The sequence below is a fragment of the Homo sapiens genome, chromosome 1 (assembly GCF_000001405.40).
Source record: "Homo sapiens chromosome 1, GRCh38.p14 Primary Assembly".
NCBI lineage: Eukaryota > Metazoa > Chordata > Mammalia > Primates > Hominidae > Homo > Homo sapiens.
The window spans coordinates 15,050,308-15,068,777 of NC_000001.11; the positions used below are offsets into that span (position 1 = coordinate 15,050,308).

Genomic DNA, 18,470 nt, shown 5'->3' on the forward strand with positions numbered 1-18,470 from the left:
CTCTGTGCTGAGGTTGCTCTAGAGCCACCCTGTCCTCAGACCCCACTGGGGAGGAAGAGGCGTGGATTCTCATGCCTGTTCCACTCATCAGTATTTGACCTCGCACATGTCACCTTTAACCTTTTCCTGCCTCAGTTTCCTCATCTGTAAAAACGACAGCCACCACAGGCCCAGACGAGAGGCAGGGACTGTGAGGGATGAGCGGGCGGAGAAGCAGGAGGGCTTGGCCAAGCCTCAGGTTTATTTTTAATGGCCACGCTCTGAGTCTATGTCCCTTGTGCCTGTTCTCAGCTGCAACGAAAGCAGTCTGCCCCAAATGTGCCACCTTCAGGCCCCTGGCCACCACCTTCTTGGACCATTTGGACCAGCCCTTGCCAAGCCAGTTCCTAGGCTGGGTCTGAACCCAGAGTGGTGGGGGGCCTGCCGCCCTGCATGAGGGCAGGGTCTGCCCAATCCCGAGCCCACCTGAGCCACGCCTGTCGTTGCCCCCACAGGAGCCTCCCCTCCACAGCCGAGCCTGCATTGGTCCTTGGTCTTTGGTCCTTAGTCATTGGTCCTTGGTGTTGTGACCCATATTTGCCTCATCAGCTCACACCGGTGCCTCCCTGCTGGACCTGCTCCCACCCGTACCCCTGAGATCTGTGAAAGAGGGTCCCAGCCGGCTTCCCCCCAAGGAGAAGAACTTAGCTGTGCCACAGAGTGTGTTTATGAAGCACGGGAAGAAGGTGGCCTTGTGCCCGCTCAGTGCCCGTTTGGCGCAGTGTGCCATCCGCACAGGAGCACCAGCCTTCCGATGTCTGCTCAGAGGCTCCTGCCTCGGGATCCTCCCAGTCTTTACCCCAGAGAAACATTCCCTAGACGAGCACTCATCTGCTGAAGGACCTGGTAGAGGATTCGGTTTCTGGGCACAGCATGCCTGCAGGGCCAGACTTGCTCTCTGATGTGGGAGATGTGATGGGTGCACTGTGGCCTCCGGATCAGCGGAACCTCAGGCCCTCCTGGTTAACAGGAACTGCCATTGGCCCCAGCCAAAAGGCAGGTGAGGGCAGGGCCCTGTGCTGCCATCTCCCCTTCCTGCCTCATGGGTCTCACTGCCCAGGCTCAGGGAGCGCATAAGTAATCCTAACTGAGCACTATGGCTGCTCTGAGACAGTGGGCCAGACCGGATCCTTGACCCTGGTGTGAATTACTCCTCACATCATCCCTGCTTGTGAAATAGAGACTCTTTAATAACAATCGCTAATATTTGTTGGGTATTTTTACCCTGGACCAAGCACTTTCCCAGCAACCATGTGAGGGAGGAACTGTCATTATCCCCGTTAGACAGCTGGAGGAACGAAGGCACGGAGAGGTGTGGAGCCTACCTTGGGATCCCACAGCTCAGAGTGGCAGAGCCAGAACCAAATCCAGACAGAGCCCAAGCTCCAAAGAACTGTGCCAGGGCCTGGCCACCTCATCACACAACTCCAGAGGGTGCTGCTTACATAAACATGGTCCCTCTTGTTTTCACCATCTTATATTGTGGGACCTTGAAGTTCAGAATGGTGGAGTAATTTGCTCAAGGTTACACAGCAAGTTAAGTGGGAGAAATGGAGTTTGAAACTAGTTCTGTCTGACTTTTGTCAAATGGATGCATTTGTGTCAAGTTAACAATTCCCAGGAGCTTGACGTTCCAAGTTCTGAGTGCTTGGAAGAGGCTGGAGGCTCAGAGAGGAGAAGAGAAGAGTCAGAACCCAAGGGGAGTTCCCAGCATTAAATTGCATTTAGTGGAAGAGATTAGTCAGAGAAATGTGTCAATTGCCACAGGAGAGGATCTAATGCATGTGTGTGTGTACGTGTGTGTATGTGTGTGTGTGTGGTGTTAGTCTCTTCTCATGCTGCTGATAAAGACATACCCGAGACTGGGTAATTTTTAAAGAAAGGGAGGCTTAATGGACTCACAGTTCCACATGGCTGGGGAGGCCTCACAATCATAGTGAAAGGTGAAGGAGGAGCAAAGGCACGTCTTACATGGTGGCAGGCGAGAGAGCATGTGCAGGGGAACTGCCTTTTATAAAACCGTCAGATCTCAGGAGACTTATTCACTGTCACAAGAACAGCACGGGAAAAACCTGTCCCTATGATTCAATTACCTCCCACTAGGTCCCTCCCATGACACGTGGGGATTATGGGAGCTTATAATTCAAGATGAGATTTGGATGGGGACACAGCCAAACCATATCAGTGCATATACATGTGTATATGTGTGTGTATGCATGTGTGTATTGCATGTGTATGTGTGTGCATGTGTGTATGTGTGTATATGTGTGTATGTGCATGTGTGTGGATACGTGGGTGTGAAAGCAGGTGCATGTATTTTAGATGAGACTTCACACGCGTCATCTGCAGTTCCTCTCCATTGTAGCTCTGCCTTGGAAGCTTACAATCCTGAGTGGGCAGAGTGGACAGTTTATCCTTGTGCTTCAGAACTCACAGGTACAGCCACCCCATTCTGAAGGACCAACCGTAGGGGACCTCCCAATTGTCAGGTAGCAAGGATGTCAAGCTGCCTACTGAGATGGAAGATGCCACTCCCAGGCCCAGACAGAGATGAGACCCCGCCTGGGAGAAGGAAGCCGATGGGTTCAGGAGAGCCACCCCACCCAGGCCTCTTCCTCACTCCTTCCCGTGCTCCCTCCAAGGGCTGCCTGTTTCAGGGGCTGGCTTGTACAATCCTGTGCTTCCTAGGCATGTGGCTGGGAGTGTTTGCAGGAGGGGGAGCTGAGGGTTCATTCCTGCATGATGGCAGACCAGCCTGGGTGCTTATTTCTCCCGAGTCGCACTTTCTGGGCAGCCAGATGGACTGGGCAGGTGGAAGCAAGGGAGTGGGGCATCCCCCTAAGACTGCGAGTGTAGCAGTGTGGAGGGCCAGGGGGCTGTGTGCACGCACACCTGGAGGGAAGGCAGGTGCCGCCACCGACTCGCCTGGGCTGGGTGTGGTGGTTCAGGAAGTGTGGGTCTCCGTGATGCTAGGTCTGCTGCAGGTGTACAGAGGCTCGAGACACACCCAGCTTCACTCCTTCCTTAAACAAAAAAGTTACCCCATTGTTCTTGCAGTAGGACAACAGAGCTGTTCCCTGGGCCATCAACACAACAAAGGCTCTGTGAAGCAGCGACCTGCTTCCATTTATCCTGCAGGTTCTTACAGCATGCATCCTGGATGTGCTGAGCCCCAGGCCGGGTGCTGGGGACTCTGGTGAGCAGACAGAACTGGCCCACATCATTTGCGCTGGTTGTTTTCTTGCCCCACAGGAATGTGGGCTTAAGGGAAACCACACTGTGCTCCCAGTCAGACACCAGGGTTTGGTACCCAGGTTGGATGTTGTGCCCACTGGAGAAGTCACTAAACCTCTCTGAGTTTTGGTTTCTTACCTGTTGAGCACAGATAATCCCGAACTCCCTACCTGCAACCCAGCACTGTTGCACAGAGCGCGTGAGGGTGGCAGAGCACAGGTGGTTTTCTCGGCCAGAGCAGGGGCAAGCCAGGTTGGCGGGGCAAGGCTGACACCCTCAGCTTAGCCTCTGCGGTATGGATTTCTATTCCCTGGAAGCTGGCAGTGGGAGGGAAGTGATTTCACAGACTTCTAGGATGTCCGAGCTGGAAGGAGCCCTGAAGATCACTTGGTCCAGGCTTTTCACTATACAGATGGGGAAACTGAGGCTCAGAGGAGGGAGTGACTTGTCTAAAATAATACAGCTGGTTGATGTGATGAGAGTGCATCAGGCATTAGGCCAAGGACTGTCTGTTTCTTGGTGGGACCCTTTCTCAAGAATCCCTGCTCTGCCAGGAAGAACTCCAGGCCTGGGGCAAAGTTAGAAAGGTTGTGGAGAGATTAGATGGATTTTTTTGTTGTTGTTAATCTGTGTTCACATGAGAGGCAAAGCCAGCACTCACAGTGGCCCTGCCATCTGTAGCTACCCCGGAAACGTCCATGTTCACCCAAAACCTCAGTGCAGGGGACCCCTGGGCCTCTCCCTGTCTCCTCTGCCCTGTCATGAGCCCCCGGAGCCAATCAGAAGTAGAAAATGACTGTGATGAAAAGAATGTGCATTAACACTTTGAGAGGCCAAGGCGGGTGGATCACTTGAGGTCAGGAGTTTGAGACCAGCCTGGCCAACATAGTGCGACCCTGTCTCTACCAAAAATACAAAAAAATTAGCTGGGCATGGTGGCAGGCGCCTGTAATCCCAGCTACTCAGGAGACTGAGGCAGGAGAATTGCTTGAGCATGGGAGGTGGAGGTTGCAGTAAACCGAGATCGCGCCACTGCACTCCGGCCTGGGCAACAGAGTGAGACTCCATCTCAAAAAAAAAAAAAAGAAGAAGAAGAAGAAAATAATATGCAGTAGCACATTTCTAATACTTGCCGTTTTTCTCCCCAAAAGAATTTGAGATCACTTCTAATAAAACCCCAGATATTCTAAGGGGAGATAACACAGCTGAAAGAGGTCTCAGACACTGGGCAGAGAAAGGAAGACCTGTGTGGCCAGTCGAGGCGGCCTCCCGGCCCCAGCTCAGCCTCACACTTGTCCCTGGGCTCCCTCCTGTCCTACATGTTCTTGGCGTGGGCTCCTGAGAGCTGGGCTTAGGATCTGCCTGTCCCCAGCCTGCATTCAAGAAGGAGCTAGTCGTGTAGGCTGATCGTGCACCTGCCCATCTCCTTGCTAGTTCTGCAGAAGGTGCACATGGCACTTCTCTGGCAAAACCTTGTGACAGGGAGAAGAAGCAGCCTTCAATCTTGCAAGGAGTTAAACTAATGGGAGCCAAACACCTTTTTCTTACAATCGGACTTGAATCCTGGCTAGTCCCTGGAGAATCCAAAAGAATGGGTGGTAAGAGTGTTCCTGGGGCCGGGCGCAGTGGCTCACACCTGTATTCCCAGCACTTTGGGAGGCCGAGGCAGGTGGATCACTTGAGGTCAGGAGTTCAAGACCAGCCTGGCCAACATGGTGAAACCCCATCTCTACTAAAAATACAAAAATTAGCCAGGCATGGTGGCACATGCCTGTAATCCTAGCTACACGTGAGGTTGAGGCAGGAGAATTGCTTGAACCCGGGAGGCGGAGGTTGCAGTGAGCTGAGCCACTGCACTCCAGTCTGGGCAACAGAGTGAAACTCCATCTCCAAACAAAACAAAAAAAAGGAGTGTTCTTGGAACCCCTCTATTTCTGGTCTCACTTTGCTCTTGGTGGGTAACCCCCAGGTTAGCTCTCGGGTGAGTTAACTTGACACAAATGCATCCATGTGACAAAAGTCAGACAGAACTGGGTTCAAACTTCACTTCTTCTACTTGTTGTATGACCTTGAGCAAATTACTCCACCATTCGGAACTTTAGGATCCCACTATATAAGATGGGGAGACCAAGAGGGACCATGTTTATGTAAGCAGTGCCCCCTAGAGTTGTGTGACCAGGTGGCCAGGCCCTGGCACAGTTCTTTGGAGCTTGGTCTCTGTCTGGATTTGATCCTGGCTCTGCCACTTCTGAGCTGTGGGATCCCAAGGCAGGCTCCACACCTCTCCGTGCCTTCGCGCCTCCAGCTGTCTAATGGGGAGAACAACAGTTCCTCCCTCACACGGCTGCGGGGCAGGCGCTTGACTTACCAATTGACGCTCGATGCCGAGCCAGCAATACCCGGTGCAGAGGATCCGGGCTTTCTCCCCATGGCGGTGGGTGGTGCCAAGCAGCTGGCCAAGAGTTCCCCTTGATCATGACTTCTTCTTCCTGTCTTCTTGCTCTCTCCAGGCCAAACAGTCCTTAGCTACGCTGACCAAGGACGTCCCCAAGCGGCATTCCCTCGCCATGCCGGGCGAGACGGTGCTCAATGGCAACCAGGAGTGGGTGGTGCAGGCGGACCTCCCGCTGACCGCAGCCATCCGGCAGAGTCAACAGACTCTCTACCACTCACACCCCCCTCACCCTGCGGACCGGCAAGGTGAGTCCTGCCCTGGCCTGGCTCCACCACGGCTTCGAGGGGCTTCACAGGAGGCCATCTGACCCAGTGGGAGAGGCAGCTGCTTTGTTCGTACTACAGCAGCTTGGGGGCGTGGGACAGAGACCTTGGGCTCATGTAACTGAAAAATCTAAGAGATGGACAGCAGGCATAGCTGGATCCAGAGGTTCAAACACTATCTGGGTCCCTCTGACCGTCTCTCCATCTCTTAGCTCTGCCCACCTCCTTTTGGCCTCATCTTCAGGCTGTCTCTTTCAGCAAGAAAGTAAAATAGTCCCCTGCAGTTCCAGATGTTTAAGACCCTCACAGCTCAAGTCTTAAGAAAGAAAAACTATCTCTTTCCCCCTGTGTCCATAGCAAATCCCAAAGAAAGACTCTGATTGGCCACATCAGAGTCACATGGGCATCCTTTGGCAGGGGAGGCAGCAGAACTCCTTGATTGACAGCTCTGGCCAATCACAGGGCATCCAAGAGGGGCTGATGTCAATGTCACAGGTGTTTGCTCCAGGCACTCGGCAGGGAAGTCTGGCCTGTGGACAGCATCTGCACCTACTGCCCATGGAACAGGCTCCAAACTTCTCGCTGTCCTGTTGCACGTCTGCAGGCCACCTTGCTCTGTTCTCTGTCCCTTCTGCAAGTAGTTGCCCTTATGTGATAGATGCAAGTTGGGAACAGGCATCCAGCAGCAGCCAATGCACCAGAGGTAAGAGCTGGTCACTGTGAAGGCTGCAGGCTGGGCTGGCTGTTGGAGCTGCAGGAGATGAGTCAGACACAGCCCTGACCTACAAGGGCCTGGCAGGCTGATCAGGGAGATGCCAGCAGGCCCTGCTATTGCCTGTCAAGGGTACAGATGGGGGAGTGTAGGTGAGTCATTGGGACGAAGGGGCATAGGCCCTGGATTCAGACTGCTGGGTTCAACTCTGGCCCTGCTGCTTACTAGAGGCATGACCCATGACCTAGGCCAGGGTCCTCAGTTTCCTCATGTGTAAAAGGGGCATTAGGCTCTTAGCACACAACGTACGTTAAAGACGTTTGCTGAGACTTCCTTTACCTACTTCATGGAGCTGTCGTGAAGATGAAATGTGTAAAACTGCGGGAATGGGGCTGGGATCATGGTCAGAGCTGGGTAAATATTAGCTGCTATTCTCATTATCATCGTCATCATCACCATTGTTGTCATCATTGATAGGTGACACAGGGGACTTTGAGAACCCAGACAGTAAGCAAATTCAGAGTCTTCCCTTCCCATTGAGTGGGATAGCAGCCCTCCCTTCACTGTCTGACCCAAGGTGGTGTGACTTTTTTGGGGTAAGCGTGGGCAGCTCTGGCCTTCAAAGCCTCAACTCAGAGGTGGAAGAGCTTATAATAAAACTGCTCGGGGCCAGCATCCTCGTCAGGCAGGGAAACTGAGACCCAGAGAGGGCCACCACTTGTTCAGAGTCTCACAGCCCAGCCATGCAGCCAGCTGTCCTGGCTTTGGGTCCAGCCCCAGGGCAGCAGGAGGGCAGAGGTGCAATTTGAAGGCAGACAGGGCTTGGGCAGTTTCTGAATCACGTGGGGGCAGCAGACTCCTGGTCATCCTCGTCTGCCTCTGCAGGGCCTCTCCTCAATGGAGCTGGCTCTGGTCTGGGAAAGCTTGGACAGGCTGGTGGATCTGCCCTCTGGGCCCTTCCTCCTCCACAGTATCTGCCTCACATACAACCATCTCCATGCATTTTATCAGACACCCCCTCCTCCAGGAAGCCTTCCGTGCTCTCTCCCCTGTGTCCTCTATGCTCCTGTAAAGTTGGGTGCTCACCTGCGTCATAGCACCTCTTACCCTACCTCGGGTTTGCTGTTGATGCATTTGTCACATGACTCCTCCCATCTGTCCAGTGCCTGGCACTGTGGTAGGCTCATCATACATGTGGCTACTGTCTGGGATTGGTACCACTGGCATCCATCCCCATGTTACACATAACAAACCTGGCTCAGAGGGGCTAGGGAGGATGCCCAAGGTCACACAGCCTGTAGGGTAAACTCACCCAGATTGGAATTGACTCCAAAGCCAGGGCTCCTTCAGCCACCCATCTTCTGTATTAGAGCATATGGCCATTGGTGGCAAGGACTGTCTTTTGCAGGAATGCAACCCCACCTGCTGGCATGCCGCCTGCACATGGTAGGTGCTTAGCCAGTCTTGTCAAACAAAAGATGCTTTCTCCATCCAGTGCCAATGCCTGCAGACAGGAGAGCAACCTGCTGGGGACTTGGAAGGGCTTCTGAGCTGTGGCTTCTGGTCTGGACCTTCCATTCAACCACTATTTATTGAGTACCTATTATGTGCCAGGCACCATGAGCTCTGGGATTCGACAGGATAAGACACCCAGGGTACCTGCCCTCACAGAGCAGATGTTGTCAGTGTACAGATATGATATGTAAATATACTATTAAATAACAAGCAGGCCAGATGCAGTGGCTCACGCCTGTAAGCCCAGCACTTTGGGAGGCTGAGGTGGACAGATCACGAGGTCAGGAGTTCGAGACCAGCCTGGCCAGCATAGTGAAATCCTGTCTCTACTAAAAATACAAAAATTCGCTGGACTTGGTGGTGGCAGATGCCTGTAATCCCAGCTACTCGGGAGGCTGAGGCAGGAGAATCACTTGAACCCGGGAAGCAGAGGTTGTGGCGAGCAAAGAACACACCACTGCACTCCAGCCTGGGCAACAGAGCAAGACCCTGTCTCAAAAATAAATAAATAAATAACAAGCAGAACGATGACAGATTGTAATTAGCACAAGGAGAGAAATCAACAGAAAACAGGCACTTTTTTTTTTTTTTTGGAGAGATGGAGTCTTGCTGTGTTGCCCAGGCTGGTTTCGAAGTCCTGGGCTCAAGCAGTCCTCCCTCTTCCGCCTCCCGAAGTGCTGAGACTACAGGCATGAGCCACCATGCCCAGCCAAAAGCAAGCACTTTGATAAGAACCAACAAGACAGGGTAGGGAGAGCTGATTACTGGGGAAGGCCTCCTGGGACAGGCTGAGACCTGGAGGATGACAGTGCCCCTGATGGGCAACAGGAATGGCAGAGACCAAGGCAGGGGGACATGGCCTGTCTCAGGCAGTCAGAAGGCTGATGTGGCTCTAGCCGAGGCTGCTGGGGTAGGCAGGGCCGTGGCACATCAGGCCACCTCGGAGGCCAGGAGGAAGAGAGATGAGATGCTGGCTGGTGGCCCATGCTCTGGTGTGTAGAGTGGAGTCAGCGCGACCCACCGGGAGGCCTCATGGTCTTCCAGGCGAGAGTCAGTGGTGGCAATGCAGTGGGAGAGAAGCAGGCAGATTTGGGGCAATGTTTTGGAGCTGCTGCTGCCGATTGGATGTGGGATATGGGGGAAAGAGAGAAAGTGGTGGTGGCCTTTAGGTTTCTCATTTGGGAAACCGATTTGGGGCAGTGGTTAGGATTGCACCAGGTCTAGGAATGTCCAGGTGGTGGGAGCATGTGAGTAGAGTCACAGAGTACTCACGTATTAATGCATCACGGTGCTGCTTAGAAATGAATTTATAAACATCAAGCACTTTCCTGTATTGGACTTGGAAACGAGGAGACTTGAATTTGGAATGAGAAGACTTGAAAACTTCCATGTCTTCTCCTCGTTCACGCTGGTGGAGGAGGGTTCATTGGATCCAGAGGCTATGGGAGGTTCTTCCCAGCAGCTGCTCTATGGGAACGTGTGGAGCTGTGGAGTAGGGGGTTGGAGAACCAGGCAAGTCTCTTCCCTTCTCTACACCTCAGTGTTCCCATCTGTAGAACGGGGGTGTTGGGTGGAATAACCGCCAAGGCAGCACAGGCGAGGACGTTCTCTCCATCCCTCACTCACCAGCTGTCCCTGCTTTCCAGCGGTCAGGGTGAGCCCCTGCCACTCCCGGCAGCCCTCTGTCATCTCCGACGCATCTGCCGCCGAAGGCGACCGGTCGTCCACACCGAGCGACATCAACTCCCCTCGACACCGGACACACTCCCTCTGCAACGTAAGGCCAGCAGCAGCGGGGCCTGGGCCCCTGGGCCCTGCCCAGAAACTGCAGGGGCGGGGGTGGCGGGGTGAAGCCATACTCGCTGTTTCCTCTCGTCCACCCAGGGAGCACTCTGGCGAATGCATTTCCTGTTCTGTTCTTTCCTTTTGCAAGAAGCGATGGATGTGGGGAGAAAAAGGAATGAGGCCCGTTTGCTCCTTGTGTCCGGGAGGGTGAGGAGAATCCAGAGGAAGCGGGCCTGGGTCGGCCGCAGGCACAGCCTGGAACTCTGCCCCAGTGGGCCCTGTCTGGGACCGTGGGCTTCTCCTCCCACACATTACCTTCCAGAGCTCAGGGCCTCCCCAGCACCTCCTCATTTCCCTTTAGAGCCAGCTCTCTATCCTGACCCAGGAGTCTTGGCATGAATTGCCTCTGGAGAGGCTTGTGAATATGGTCTAAGTTTGTTTCCTTTGTTTATTTCATCAAACACTTTTTGATTGCATACTGGGCACCAGCTCCCAGGAGGCAAAGGCCCTAGCTGCCTAGCTCTTGATGACTAGTGGGGCAGACAGATGGGCTCTGCAACAGTGTGGGAGTAAATTGAAGGTGGGTTGAGCTTCTGAGGACAGTTGGAAGCCATGTCGAGGCTCTAACATGAAATATTGGGGTCTGGGTGTGGGGACCACCTTGAATTTTTGTTTTATCACACAGTTGGTAATGCAGAGGCTCCCCTCTGCCATATCCTGAAGACAGACATCATAGGGTTAGATCCTCAAATGCACGAGACGGCTTTTTCCAAAACTCAGTTAATGTCACTTTATTAACCAGCGAAATAGATAATAAAAAAGAAATGAGGTGAACACATTGGACAAAACCATTACTTGCCAGTGACATGATTCTCTACCTGGAGAACTCAAGAGAATAACTTGAAAAGCTATTAGAATGAATAATAAGCATGTACATAACAGTGTTGCTTGGAAATCAGTGTGTAAAAATCAATCACTTTCCTATAGATGAGTCGTAATTATGGAACCATTTTTTTCAATCCACAATAATGAAAAGTGCTTATAAAAATAGCTAAGAGTAAACTTCAGAGAAGCTGCCTCAGTCTGCTCAGGTGGGCGGCAGAGATTGCTGGCCCGGGGACTTTAGATGGCCTCCTCAGAGTAGGAAGGTCATTTGCAGCCTGGGGCCCTGCTCAGGCCTGGGATTCTCTTTTTTATTGTTTTATTTTATTTATTTGTATGTGTGTGTGATGGAGTTTCACTCTTGTCACCCAGGATGGAGTGCAGTGACGCAGTCTCAGCTCACTGCAACCAACACCTTCCAGGCTCAAACAATTCTCCTGCCTCAGCCTCCCGAGCAGCTGGCATTACAGATGCCTGCCATCACACCCGGCTAATTTTTGTATTTTTAGTAGAGATGAGATTTCACCATGTTGGCCAGGCTGGTCTTCAACTCCTGACCTCAGGCGATCTGCCCACCTCAGTCTCCCAAAGTGCTGGGATTATAGACATGAGCCACTGCACCTGGCGGGATTCTCTGTTTTATACTGGTGCTTTGAGGAAGCAGTATGTTCTTCTCTTGTCCCCAGAAGAGAATCCTAGTGACAAAGTCTATCTTGACTAACAGAACCAAGGCAAGGAAGGTGGGCCACTGGAGGGGTCTCTGACATCCATTCCCTGATCCTGAAGGACCACTGTGGAGTTATACCTACAGCCAGCAGTGTCCCTGCACCATTCTCATCCCAGTTGAGAATACCTTCCCCCCACGGCCATATTTTGTCTTCTCGTGGTGGGCCCATGGGGACTCTGGCAGCAGAAATGCTGCTGGAAAAACCCCATTCTGCAGAAGGAGTTCTCCAAAGGCCTCTTGAATTGCATTTGACCCAGTCCTAGTCTTTTGCCCACCATAGCCTTGGCACATTCCTGCTGCCAGGAAATGGGTGCTTTGATAAGCCAGTTGTCTGCATACAGGCGTTTCAGTGAGCAGGCCCCATTCTCTTTACCCATAGATTTGGCAAAGATGTTCCTATCCAGAGTGGAACTATCTTAGCTGCCTTCAGAATGGATTCTGTTTGCAAACCTTGAGACTAAAGACTAAACTACCATTCATTAATTCCCTCACTTCCTCAACCCTTTTTATCCCCCCATCTCAACAGGTGTGCATGCAGGTAAGCCAGGAAGAGCCCAAAAATAGCTACAGGTAACCCTTTGCCTTGGGCATCTGACGTCCACCAGCAAGAATAGTGCAGCCTGGACTAATGACTGCCTCATCCTCTCACACTCTGGCCACTAATTTAGAGCAAAAGTAGGAACTCAGCATAGAGAGGTTGGAGAAGGTTGACGGACCTTGGCATTATGCTTGCAATTCCAGAAATAACCACCAGGAGTCTCCCTAGTAATGACTGTTTTGATCCAAAGGATCTGTGGGCTCCAGACAGGGCAGACTGATTCTGGGATGTAGTGAAGGCTTTTGTACACCTGTAGGCTATTAAGGGTTCCCTCCACACCCACGTAAGGCAGGGCTGGCAACACAATGGAAATGTCCTACCTGCCCATCCTAGGGACCTGTCGTCTGAGGCTCCCTAGGAAAAAGGGAAGGAGTTCAGACCCCTCCTGGGGCAGCCCAAAGCTCAGGACCAAGTATGCAGTTACCCTGGAGCTCCTGCCTGGAAGGAGCACTGTGCCAGGAGGAATCTGACAGCCCCCAATTGGAGCTGTAGCTCTGCATCCAATTAGCTCCACGGTAGTGGACTGTCTGCTGCCTCTCTTGATATCTGTGAATAGGGCTAACGAGTCCTGCCTGCCCCTGCGCAAACTAAGAGATTCATTGTGTCGGTTGTGGGGGAAGCTAGAGGCTACGTGGTCTCCCAAGTTTGTTTCTGTCCCAAAATTCTCTATTTTGTGCTTTTTCTATAAAAGTACATTTCTTTATGAAAAGCACCAAGTCTAACCAAGCTCTAGCTCTAACTCAGAGGACAGACTGGGACAGGAACTTAGACGCCCTGGAGTGGCTAATTTGTTGGTCAGAAGATGCTGGGGGTTGAGAGGCCAGACTGGGCAGGAGAGGACCCCAGGAACTCTAGGGAAACTCCAGGCCCCATCAATAAGCCATCTGGGGGTATCTGCTTCAGGAGATGGGGGGTGGGCTCCCCACTGCAGAGGCAGGGTGGCCCCTGAGAGATGGCATCCTTCCACGGAAGGCCCCACACCGCACGGGCCGCCTCTGCTCTCCTGTGTCACCTGTCTCTGCTGTTTCATCTTCCTCTTCTCCTCTGGCTACAGGGCGACAGTCCCGGCCCAGTTCAGAAGAACCTGCACAACCCTATTGTACAGGTAGGTGTGCCCTCCCTGGCCACTTGAACCCTCCCTCCACCCCACCTTGACTACAACTTCACCCTCTGTTCCCCTGAGCCCACATCCATGCCGCACACCCAAGGTGGAGAGGATTTATGCCACTTCCGCTGAGCCCACGTCCATACTGCACACCCAAGGCGGAGAGGATTTATGCCACTTCCGCTGAGCCCACATCCATGCCGCACACCCAAGGCGGAGAGGATTTATGCCACTTCCGCTGAGCCCACATCCATGCCGCACACCCAAGATGGAGAGGATTTATGCCACTTCTGGAGTCTCAGGTGGGCTGGGGCCTGAGCCAGTCTCAGCACCTGGGCCCGCCTGGCCCTGTGCCCTGCAGGGCTGTGGAGCTGCTGAGTGCACACATGTCCTCCGTCCTGATGCCCTGGCCATGGCTTACCCTGGCAGCCAGCTCTATAAAATTCCCATTATTATTGAAAAGCTCATAGCCCAGGCAGTGGGTTTTTTGTGCTGCTAGAAACTTGATTCATTTTTAACATTTTCAATATTCTGTCATCAGAGTGAGGAGGGGGCTGCAGGGAGGACAAACAACATGAATTTGAGGGTCTGCAGGGGTCTCTGAAGTCACCTTTCTAGTCCTGGGCTCCCCACCTGTGGGTCTGCACACCACCCATTCGCAACGGAGACCACCAGGGAAGTGGTTCAAATGCAGATTCCTGGGCCATTTGCCCTAGAGATTCTGATCCACCAGGTACAGGGTGGGGCCTGGAATTCAGGAAATCCCTAAGTGTTTGGGGAACCATGAGTCAAGTCTAAGCCCCACCCCGGTTACGCATGATGCCACCACATGTCTTTGTATGAAGCACTTGGCAGTTTGCAAAACTCTCCTGCAGATACCACCCAGATGCCGGTAGTGTCCCTAACAGGAGGGCAGGGTAGACCTTACCACCATCATCTTATATTGTTTTCCCACGTCACAGACAAGAAAACGTCTCAGAGCAGCTCAGGTGCTTTCCAGGGTTCCACAGGTAGAGTCATGATCAGAAATGGAGCCCCCGGTGGCCATACTGTCTCCTGTCCAGGGCAAGTACCAAGCCATTGCCTTCGGCTGACGCAGGCTCCAGACTCCTCCACATTTTCCGGACTCTCCCAGGCCTCCTTGCCCATGTCACTGTGTGCTTAGTGCCCTGGCACGGCAGACAGGGCCTGTGGCCACCCTTCCTCCCTGTGGCCTCGCATCGTGGACATGACCACAGGCAGTGGCCGAGTGCATGGACATCCTCCTACAAGCCCTCAACAAGCACCTGAAAGTTGTGGGCAAATTGAATTTAAACAATATTATTACAGTACAAATGACCACAGCTGCTCACTGTACTGAATGCCTGTGGCACACCAGACACCGTCCTTGGGGTCTTTTTCTTTCTTTTTTTTTTTTTTTTTTTTTTGAGACGGAGTCTCACTCTGTCGCCCAGGCTGCAGTGCAGTGGCGCGATCCTGGCTCACCACAACCTCCTCCTGGGTTCAAGTGATTCTCCTGCCTTAGCCTCTCAAGTAGCTGGGATGACAGGTGCCTATCACCACATCCGGCTAATTTTGTATTTTTAGTAGAGACAGGGTTTCACCATGTTTGCCAGGCTGGTCTCGAACTCCCGACCCCAGGTGATCCACCCGCCTGGGCTTCCCAAAGTGCTGGGATTACAGGTGTGAGCCACCGTGCCTGGCCTGTTCTCAGGGTCTTTATCCTCTCTTTAGCAACATCCTCGTGGCAATCTTGGAAGGGTCTTACTGTTGTCCCTGAGAGGTTCTGTGACTGGTCCCTGTTTGCTCAGTGAATGAGGGGCTGACCTTGGCATTCCAGCCCTGGAGGTGGCTTCTCAGCCATCCCAGCCCGTCCCTGACCCCACTGGCTTAAAGCTCAGAGAGGCCTTCCCCACCCCGGATCCCATCCACTGCAGTCTGCACCCCAGCTAAGCTTGGCTTTCTTCTTCTCCCCCACCCTCTTCCACGTGGCTCCTGACTCCTCAGTCACTAGAGGATCTTGAAGACCAAAAACGGAAAAAGAAGAAAGAGAAGATGGGATTCGGCTCCATCTCCCGCGTCTTCGCCAGAGGGAAGCAGCGGAAGTCCCTCGACCCCGGCCTCTTTGATGGTACCGCCCCTGATTATTACATAGAGGAGGACGCGGACTGGTGATACGCGCTCCCCTGCGCCTGCTGCCCGCAGGCGTGTCTGTGCGTGTGGGCGTGTGTGCAAGCGAGCGTGGGTGCGCGTGTGGCCGTGCGTGGGGTGCGTGTGCACGTGTGCGCTGGCACACATGGGTGCTGGGTGTGGCCGAGCGCCTCTAACAAGTGAAAACACGAGTGTGAACCTCTCTCCCCTGCGTCGCCACCTCTGTAATTGATGTACATACCGCAAACCGTGTGTGAACCTGTCAACTCTCTGTCGTCTTTGGAGCGATACAGTTGTGTTGTTAATCTGGTTTATTATTTTTCTTCAGTGTTTGGTTTTTCTTTTTCTTTTTGTTTGGTTCGTCGGTTTGTTTTTGTTTTTGTTTTTTTCCCCCTTTCTCCTCCCCTCCTCCTTTTTATGAAACTTGAAAACTTGAAGGACTGCTGTGTATTTGTAAATAACAAAACTATTGTGCACTCTGTGCTTGTAAATGTCCCTCGTCCAAACCGCTACTCCTGGAGCCCGTCTGGCAGAGGATGTGGTCTGTTTTTGATGTCCCCCCTCCCGCCCCCCTGGTGTGAACGTGTGGGACCAGACCCTGTCCTGGGGGTGCGCCCAAGTCACTTTAACCACAAAACGCCATCGTCGTCAGGGTAAGCTCTGCTCTCTACAAAGACTCGCGAGCCGGGCCAAGGGGCCTTGTCTTGGCTGGGTTTGTCAGAGGTCAAACCGGCTCTTTTAAACGGCCTACCAGTTTTTAAATTGCATTGCCGTTTCTTTCTTTATGAAAAAAAAGAAAAAAAGAAAATTGTTTCATTTAATTTATTTGCACAAATGCTGAAAACTTATTCTATCTAAATTATTACATAAATATTGGAATGTCTATTTTTCCATGGGGTGGGCGGGAGGTGGGTGTCTCTGTTGACTTGTCTGTTCTGTTACCATGCTGCTACCCAACTGTGCAAAGTAGTTTAGGGTGGCCAGAACCCAGGGACCATTGGATTTCAAAGCTTGCTTTTTCTGTTGGTTCTTCTCTCTCCTTCTCTCTCTGTCTCTCCCATTCTCCTGCCCATGCATGAAAGGATCCTCCACCTTCTTCCCACCCAGAGCTCCCTCCAGGCCTTTCTCTATATATTTATTTATCTGACATACAGAACACGACTTTAGTGAGCAGAGTGCTGACAGTCATGGTCCCCTTCTTTGGGTCTGTCTTTTGAGAGAGGTTGAGTTCAGGGCAAGACAGCCTGCCACACATCCAAGGGTACGACCAGTGGGACCCTGGCCTGAGTCTGTTCTCCGAGGGGCCTCCAGCAGCTTCTGTTCCTCCCTGCAGCTGTGTCTTTCTTGTCCTGGGTTTAGGATGCAGGTGGGCCAGGCAGGTGTTGTTAGGGGAGGCACCCACTTCAAAAGGAGGGCCACAGTGGGGACACAGAGTCCAGCACCTGAGCCCTCCACCCTCCCCATTCTGGTTGGTTCCATCAGCCACACTTAGAATCTCCCAGGATCCCTTGGACTCCGTCCCCCAACTTGTCACAGCAGCCTGAGCCTACCCACCCCAGGAGACAAGAGCTGGCAGGAACATCTGCCTATATGGGGGGTGGCGTTGGCCCCAAAGAGGCTTCACCAGCAAAGGAACTGTGTGTATTTTAATGCCAGGGGACGGAGGATGTGTGAGCTGTTCAGCAAGGTCTGCCCAAGGCCTAAAACTCAATTTCCTTATTCTTTTGCTTCTGCTCGTCCTTAACAACTAACAGCTCAACCCACACCTCTAGACAACAGTAGTCGTGCTTTCTGCTAACGGTGACATTTTCAGCTCTTAAAAAGAAGCAAGGAGATTTTCAAATGCTAGAGTATCTCTATCAGAAGGCATAGGACATTGTGTCCAAAGTCTCAAGAACAAACAACACTTTCCTTCTGACCTGGTCCAAAAGTCAGCAAACAGCAAGCAGGCAGAGGCCCTCATAAGGACTTTTCTGTCCTCCTTTGACCAAACTGTTTAACCGAGCCTAGGGGTGACGGGGAGCGACCCAAGCTGGCATCTTTCTCTACGGAGACAGATTTTAGAAAATACTTTTCTTGCCCATGAATTTCTTTTCTGGTTGATTTTTATCATTTTCCCTTTACTTACAAGAAAATAAGATTGCAACCACTCCTGCTAATGATTTAGTAGTTCCTTTTCATTTCAGTTTTTGTAAATTAGGAGATAATTCTAAGAGTTACTAAAGGATGATTTATTTAAGAGAACTACGTCAAATAGCGAATGAGTTATGGGTAACATTAGACGAAAATAACCTTTCCCGTGGGAAAGGTTTCTCGAAGGCATGGATGCAAATATAAAATATTAAAAAAAATCTAAATAAAGCTTATTTTAAAATATGATCGAATTCTATGTTATTTGATTGCTTCTATTTGGCTCCGGGTGGGAGGCTCTGCCCCTCTGGGAGGCACAGGCTGGCATGACCTGCTCCTTGGACTTCCAGGGCTGGGTTCTGGGAGGGGGGATGGGAGGGGCCGAGGAAAGCTGGCTGGATTCGGGGCCCTTGGAGGGGCCGAGCCGGGGTAGCCTCCCAGAAGCATCTCGCCTCTGCCGCCCTGACTGTAATTTGGAGGGCTACCCTGTGGTCCAAACGCACCACCCCCGACCTGGCACCCTGCATTGTGGAGCTTAGTGGCCCCAGTCAGCTTTCGTCTGCTTCCTTCTCCCCCTGAGCTCCTTCCAGAGGCCCCAAAGGAGCCTGTGCTTTGGGGCGTGTTACTTCCCGCAGACCTCCGTGGACCTCTGCGCGTCCCACGATCCCACCCTCCCTGGAGGACCGAGAGGAGCTTCAGGGAGATAGAGAGGGAGCCACAGGCTTCCTTGATTGAAGCCAGAGTGAGCCAGGCTTTTCCTAGCCCCAAGAGAACCCCCCAGATACAAAACTCAGGCCTCCCCCAGCGAGACTCCACTGTATGTCCCGAGAAGAGGGTACCCGGGTTACCCCAAAGCCTGACATAGTCAGTACCC

General features: G+C 52.5%; 1 protein-coding gene across 22 annotated transcripts in view, besides 5 other annotated features; it reads left to right on the forward strand.

The window, feature by feature from the left end:
* KAZN (kazrin, periplakin interacting protein) overlaps nucleotides 1–18,470 on the forward strand; it is a 1,225,220-nt gene that overhangs the window by 1,157,484 nt on the left and 49,266 nt on the right. For 9 of the 22 annotated variants that reach the window (XM_011541074.4, XM_005245795.6, XM_011541080.4 and 6 more), the window contains 4 exons: nucleotides 5,784–5,973; nucleotides 9,865–9,995; nucleotides 13,265–13,315; nucleotides 15,323–15,446. In XM_011541074.4, the coding sequence (XP_011539376.1) occupies nucleotides 5,784–5,973; nucleotides 9,865–9,995; nucleotides 13,265–13,315; nucleotides 15,323–15,446 (496 nt within the window). Of the gene's footprint in view, nucleotides 1–5,783; nucleotides 5,974–9,864; nucleotides 9,996–13,264; nucleotides 13,316–13,418; nucleotides 13,618–15,322; nucleotides 17,849–18,470 lie in introns of those variants that run through there. The other 13 variants (NM_015209.3, NM_001437721.1, NM_001370229.2 and 10 more) reach the window with 6 other exon arrangements.
* Nucleotides 2,344–3,008: an enhancer, noted in NCBI's record as "OCT4-NANOG-H3K27ac-H3K4me1 hESC enhancer chr1:15379147-15379811 (GRCh37/hg19 assembly coordinates)". NCBI's record gives its function as "activates a minimal SCP1, AML or CMV promoter by ChIP-STARR-seq in naive H9 embryonic stem cells {active_cell/tissue: H9 hESC(naive)}" and the evidence as "EXISTENCE:reporter gene assay evidence [ECO:0000049][PMID:30033119]".
* Nucleotides 3,009–3,672: an enhancer, noted in NCBI's record as "OCT4-NANOG-H3K27ac-H3K4me1 hESC enhancer chr1:15379812-15380475 (GRCh37/hg19 assembly coordinates)". NCBI's record gives its function as "activates a minimal SCP1, AML or CMV promoter by ChIP-STARR-seq in naive H9 embryonic stem cells {active_cell/tissue: H9 hESC(naive)}" and the evidence as "EXISTENCE:reporter gene assay evidence [ECO:0000049][PMID:30033119]".
* Nucleotides 9,499–9,999: an enhancer, noted in NCBI's record as "H3K4me1 hESC enhancer chr1:15386302-15386802 (GRCh37/hg19 assembly coordinates)". NCBI's record gives its function as "activates a minimal SCP1, AML or CMV promoter by ChIP-STARR-seq in naive and primed H9 embryonic stem cells {active_cell/tissue: H9 hESC(naive and primed)}" and the evidence as "EXISTENCE:reporter gene assay evidence [ECO:0000049][PMID:30033119]".
* Nucleotides 10,000–10,500: an enhancer, noted in NCBI's record as "H3K4me1 hESC enhancer chr1:15386803-15387303 (GRCh37/hg19 assembly coordinates)". NCBI's record gives its function as "activates a minimal SCP1, AML or CMV promoter by ChIP-STARR-seq in primed H9 embryonic stem cells {active_cell/tissue: H9 hESC(primed)}" and the evidence as "EXISTENCE:reporter gene assay evidence [ECO:0000049][PMID:30033119]".
* Nucleotides 13,331–14,530: an enhancer, noted in NCBI's record as "CDK7 strongly-dependent group 2 enhancer chr1:15390134-15391333 (GRCh37/hg19 assembly coordinates)". NCBI's record gives its function as "activates an origin of replication core promoter dependent on BRD2, BRD4, P300/CBP, MED14 and CDK7 cofactors, with strong dependence on CDK7, by STARR-seq in HCT116 cells {active_cell/tissue: HCT116}" and the evidence as "EXISTENCE:reporter gene assay evidence [ECO:0000049][PMID:35650434]".